The sequence below is a fragment of the Homo sapiens genome, chromosome 12 (genome assembly GCF_000001405.40).
Source record: "Homo sapiens chromosome 12, GRCh38.p14 Primary Assembly".
In the NCBI taxonomy this organism is placed as follows: Eukaryota; Metazoa; Chordata; class Mammalia; order Primates; family Hominidae; genus Homo; species Homo sapiens.
The window spans coordinates 84,800,081-84,806,656 of record NC_000012.12 but is presented as its reverse complement, the minus strand read 5'-3'; the positions used below and the strand labels follow the sequence as shown (position 1 = coordinate 84,806,656).

At 37.4% G+C, this 6,576-nt stretch overlaps 1 annotated feature.

The window, feature by feature from the left end:
• Positions 701–1,559: an enhancer, noted in NCBI's record as "OCT4-NANOG hESC enhancer chr12:85198877-85199735 (GRCh37/hg19 assembly coordinates)". NCBI's record gives its function as "activates a minimal SCP1, AML or CMV promoter by ChIP-STARR-seq in naive H9 embryonic stem cells {active_cell/tissue: H9 hESC(naive)}" and the evidence as "EXISTENCE:reporter gene assay evidence [ECO:0000049][PMID:30033119]".

Sequence of the window (6,576 nt, the reverse complement as noted above, 5' to 3'; positions counted from 1 at the left end):
TGAAGCTAGTTTGTGACATCTCCTGGTTACTTCTATGGTATTCGGTTTGTATGTGCTTATCACTCTTTAAAGACATCAGCTCTTGAAAAATTTCTTCTCAGTAAGTTTTTATATCAATGTTACCTTTTGGAAAACTTTCCTGACTCCTCCCAATTAGATTTTTTTTTTTTTCTCACCTTCTTCTGTGTTCTCAAGATTATAGGGAAACAATGATGAATAAGAAAGAAGGGCCCGGGTGTGGTGGCTCATGCCTGTAATTCCAGCACTTTGGGAGGCCGAGGTGGACAGATCACAAAGTCAGGAGTTCGAAACCAGCCTGAATAACATGGTGAAACCCCGTCTCTACTAAAAATACAAAAATTAGCCAGGCGTGGTGGTGCATGCCTGTAATCCCAGCTACTCAGGAGGCTGAGGCAGGAGAATCGCTTGAACCCAGGAGACAGAGGTTGCAGTGAGCCAAGGTGGTGCCACTGCACTCCAGCCTGGGTAACAGTGCGAGACTTTGCCAAAAAAAAAAAAAAAAAAAGAAAGAAAGAAGGAGTGAGTATTTGTTTTAGGGATTATATTAAGGTAAAGTTAATTGTTCTATTGATCAACCCCAAATGCCTTAATAACTGAAACAATAGAATTGTTTTTTTTTTTAAATTTATGACAAGTCCAAAACAGTGTTACTGTATAGTGAATGTAAAAAAAAAAAAAAAAAAAAAATCCATGAGGTGATATAGTGACTCTGTGCTACTTCTGTCAAAGATTGCACTGGACCTATCAAACAGACAAGAAAGACTTTATTCAAGACTATAGCAATACATGTCAAGATTATTGCTGTCAGAGAAGGAGAATAAATTCAATGCCATTGAAATGAAAGGAGAGAAGAGTAAGCACTCTGATGAGGGAGTGAAGGAGTGCTGGAGGGCATTAGTCAGTGTGGTCAATGTGATTAGACCATTTGCATTTGCTATTTGGGCTTACTGAAGTTAGACTCCTACATTCCCATAGATGTAGGGGCTCTATCTTTCTCCATGATTGCATTTCAAAGGGATGGCTCTCAGGTTTTTGAGAAAGACATTCCTGCGTTGTAGAAAATTTGCATCTCAAAGGGGCAGAGAAAGAATTAGTAATCGCAAATTTTTTGAACACCCTAAGGAAAGAGGTTGGAAGCTTCAGTCAGGAAGAAACCTATCTAAATCTGTCTCAAGTTTGTCAAATTGAGGGGAGCTTTATGTCTATCTTGGTTACTTTTTGAATGTTTCCATCATATACACATACCTTTGAAAGTTCCATTGTTCGTCTCTATCAACCAAGTGCATAAGGAAAGACCATGAAAGAGGCCCAGGAGAGGTTTCACAGTCTAGTGCTGAAAGTCGCACATTTCACTTTCACTACTCTTCCCCTGACTAAAAGTCAGACAATTGGCTACATTCAACTGCAAATATGGGGGGCAGCCATGTGATATAAGTGATAGCTGAGACTATAACCCTCCTCTTTGGATTAATTATTCCGGCTTATTATTCCGGCTCCTGTGTTCTTTCTAGTGCACCACACTGGATAGCTTGCCAAAATCCGAGTGGGAAAAATCACCTGAAAAGTGAATATTTCAGTTGCCTATCAGGAGGTTTGGTTATGCTTTTCACAGCTTTAGGCAGAGACTATAAATCACTGATCTAGTGAATGAAAGAGCAACACATACAAAGAGGTGGAATTTTTTTCTCTATTATTTTAGTGACAATTGATGACCTTGGGCAAGTCACTTAAAGTCTCTTTGGCATTAAAATGAAACATTGTTTCATACCTCTAACTACCCTCTCAGGCAAGATCTTTACAAGAAAATTAATCCAAAGCAAACTGGAGTTTGCTTTTGAAACATTAAAGTTTTCTAGCCGCTTTGCAGGGACTGTAGATGCCCAGAGGACAGTCCTTCATGTTGTGTTCCAGTAATTCCCACTTGCATGCTGAGCAGTGAGAAAAAAATTAAAATATAAATAGAAGGCTGTAGAGATTTAATAAAATCCTCAGGAGTCTATGAGTTTTATCTTTATTGTAATCACTTCAATCAGTTATTAATTCAGGCTTTAAAAGCAGATTTTTTAAAACAAAACAAAAAATACTCTGTAATGACATAGAATATTTATACTTTGCTAATAAAAATGCCCCAGTTGTAACTTACACATTTACTACACTTCTTATTACATTTTGAGGTCATTAAGTTTAAGTCATGTTTGATGGGCATTTTTAAATGAAAAAATATATATATATAAAGAAAGACAGTTGTTCAAGTTTTTTTGCTATTAAGTTTGAATGGTAGTTGAAATTCCAACACTTTGCAGATATGTTAGACATTATGTAGGTGGAGACAAGGATATTTTAATGAAGGCTTCTTTTCCAAATCTAACAAACATAATTCCATATATTGGCATACATTTCTGCCGCAGCAGGGCAGGCATGGTGACCACTATAAATGAATGACACAAAATATTCACATAAATCAAATTGAATCAATTTCACACTTAAAGTTATTCACTGGCTTTCTGTTTCAATCAGAATAACTCAAAATTCCTTACCCTGGTGCACAAGTCCCTCTGTGATCTGATCTTCATCTTCTCCTAGAACCTCATCTCCTTACTCTCTCTCTCTTTATCACTGTGCTCTGTTCATAGTGCTGTCACTGTGCCTTAAACAGACCATCATTCCTCTCACTTCAAGCCACAGTTTTCGTTGTTTCCTCTGCCTGTAACATGCAATTTTAGCCACTCTGGTCTTAAGGCAAATGATGTGGACTCAGAAGCCTTTTCTGGCACAGTCTCAAAAATAGCATGCTCCTGACCCTTGCATGTCACTACCCTAGTTTGCCTACTTAATACTTAGTACTCACTTAACTTGTACTGATTCTTGAATTTTATTGTGTGACTGACTTTTCTGGAATGACTGCTAACTCCACATGGGCAGAGGACTTCTCAGAGTCAATCTTTTCCATTCCTGTGCCCACACTACCTAAAATGGCATAGGTGCTCACTGCAATGATTTGTATATCCCAATGTTCCTTTCTTCTAACTCTCTTATCATCCTGAACTTTTCCTTGATTCTCTTATGCTCCATTGATTGCTTTGTCTCTTCTGCAGAGACTAAGATGTTGAACAGATAAGCTATTGGCAGCAATAATCTTAATAGGATACAATTTTGACAGAATAAAATACAAGTTATATAATCCCAAGCAGTTTAGAGGTTACAAAATATAATTAAGATTGCAAGCTCTGGGGCTCCAAAATTTGCCTTGAATCCCAACTGTGTCATTTACTAGGGGTATATCTTGGGCAGATTACTTAACCCATTCGAAGCTCTGTTTTTGCATCTCCAAAGTGAGGATGATAGTTTCTGCCTCATTGAGGTTGTTGTAACAATTAAATGAATCACTACATTACTTCTATAAGCACAACTTTTAGAGAATTGCCTGGCAGTCAGTAAGTGTTAATTTTCTTTTTCTTTTTAAAAATTTATCAGCAATTCCAAAAGGAGTACAAAAGACTGAATGGACAATCTACCTAAATTGAAGAGAAATTTAGGAGCCAAACTGCTAAAAATAACAACAGCTTATACTAATTTAGTGCATATTACATTGTTTCTGGTACTGATCTGATTGCCTTATATATGTTACTTTATTTACTTATCATACCAGTGCTCTGAAGAAGTTATTATTTATGTCTCCATTTCAACATGGTGAAACCAGAAGCATAAGGTCATACAGTTATGAAGTAACAGAGCCTGGATTTGAATTTAAGCACTTTGAGCTCTAAGGTCCTTGTTCTTGATCATTAGGTCATACAAGCATTTCAAACAAACAAAAACATAAAACTTCTATCAATATAGATCATGAAAATATGACAAAATATAGGAATAAATTATTAAGATTTTTATATACAGAAATTTCTAATTCATATTCAGTGAAACATGCTTAGCATTTTTCTCCTTTCTATTGTAGATGTATCATTTAAAATGTATAGATGCTTATAAGTAATTTATAAACAGAAAAATATTAACATTGTCAGATATTTTCTCAAAACATAGAAAACTGTAAAATTATAGAACACTATTTAAAAATCAATAGGAGTTTCCATAATCCCAGTTTATTTGATTTCATATTAAAATGTTCTCATATGGAGATAGGGTTGAATACAATTTAGATTATCCAAATATAAAGCACAGTGTTTTACATGTAGTGAATACTCTTAGTGGTAGGAACATTTCCTTTCTTGCTTAGCCCCTCCTTACATCTGTTTCTTTGGAACAAGATTGTTTCCCTTTTATTTGCCAGATTTTTTATTACATTACTTTAAGCTTGTAGACCTAGCTGAAGTTAAAAGCTAAAAGCAGGCTTACATAACTTGCTTGTAATATGATTGTCTAGATTTATATATGAAGCCTATATTTAACATGTAAGAATTTGAAATTAATTTATAATATAACATGGAAGCAGTTAGTCAATTATGTGTGTGTGTGTGTTTGTGTGTGCATCCAATACCTCAGAGTCATGAAGCTATGTCTCAGTTACTCAATTATCCCAGTGAAAGGATGTGTGAGTCCATTTTCATAGTGCTGTGAAGAAAAGCTTAAGAATTGTCTTGGTAATTTACAAAGACAAAGAGGTTTAATGGACTCAGTTCCACATGGCTGGGGAAGCTTCACAATCATGGCAGAAGGCAAAGGAGGAGCAAAGGCGTGTCTTACATGGTGGCAGGTAGAGAGTATGGGCAGGGGAACTGCCCTTTATAAAACCATCAGATCTGATGAGACTTATTCACTATCATGAGAACAGCATGGGAAAAACCTGCCCCCATGATTTAATTACTTCCCACCAGGTCCCTCCCATGACATGTGGAGATTACAGGAGCTACAATTAAAGATGAGATTTGGGTGGTGACACAGCCAAACCATATCAAAAGAAGAAACTGTGGCTTTCTCTCTTTCTGTGGGGCAGCTTGAAGTTATAGGACACTCTTCATTATGTGAGGCTGCTGAGGTAACTGCTGATACTTGCTGATGTATATGTTGCAACAACAATATTTGCTCTTACACCACCTGCAGCATACCCACTTGTTTCAATTATCTGTTGCTCTATAACAAACAATCCAAAAATGTAGTGGTTTAAAATAACAACCAGTTTACTTGGTTCCTGATTCTGTAGTCAGAAATTTGGGCAGGGAACAGTGGAAGTGCTGTAGCTTAAAAAGGAAGAAGCAGGCTTCCATAGCTTTATTGAAGTTTTATATCTGAGGATTTGATTTTAGTGACTGACTGGTTTCTTAAGTTCACCTCCATGTGACCTCTCCACATAGCTACCTTGTACTTTTTCATAGAAAGGTGGTCTCAGAGCTTCAAGAGGGTGCAATATATGAGGACTAAACCCAATGTGTGTGCCTAGCAAGTGTCTGCTTGCATCAGATTTTCCAATATCCCATTGGCCAAAATAAGTCACATAGCCAATTCCAGAAACAGTGAGAGGAGACTGTATAGAAGGCGAATACTGGGAGGCAAGGGTTTGTGTTAGCAACCAATGTAAATGTTTTCTACAGTCCATCCTTTAATATAAAACAAAATTAACAGGGCCGGGCGTGGTGGCTCACACCCGTAATCCCAGCACTTTGGGAGGCCAAGGCGGGCGGATCACGAGGTCAGGAGATTGAGACCATTCTGGTTAACACAGTGAAGCCCTGTCCCTACTAAAAATACAAAAAAATTAGCCGGGCTTGGTGCAGGTGCCTGTAGTCCTAGCTACTGGGGAGGCTGAGGCAGGAGAATGGAGTGAACCTGGGAGGTGGAGGTTGCAGTGAGCTGAGATTGCGCCACTGCACTACAGCCTGGGCGACAGAGCGAGAGTCCATCTCCAAAAAAAAAAAAAAAAAAAAAAAAGAAAAGAAAAAAAATTAACAGATCTCTCATATATGAAATACGTAATATTTCTCCCCAAACCCCCAATATCATATTGCTTTATGGTGTCAGGCTCAGCATTTTGTCATCTAAATCAGGTTTAGGTGCAAATGAGGATCCTTAGATGCAGTTCTACCTCCAAACACCCAATATTTAATGATGTAACAGTAATAGTAAAATTACAGTATACAAGCTAGTTAAAAAGTGGGGAACATATGGCACATAACAACCACTGACCTGTAACAATTCTGAAATCCATACAGCCCCAGGGAGCAGGAAATGGTCCTTTATCAAGGGCCAGTTCTGTATCATGGGATGATTCTCTCTGGGTTTTCTTTTTGTTTTTGTTTTCTTCCCCCTGAGTATGGCTTTGTTTTTCATAAGAAATGCTCTACATATGCAAGCCTGTTGCCCACTTTCCAGGCCCAAGGCCAAAATCACATGTTTTAGGTTTTTATAATAGCAACACTCCACTTCTAGTATCAATTTGTCTTACAGTTATTTGTTGGTACATAACAAACCACCCCAAATATAGTATCTTAAAACAAGAAATATTTATTTGTTCACAATTTTGTGGGTCAGAATTTTAGACTGGGAACAGTAGAGATAGCTGGTACCTGCTGTACAATATCTACAGCCTAAACTGCTAGGACTGGA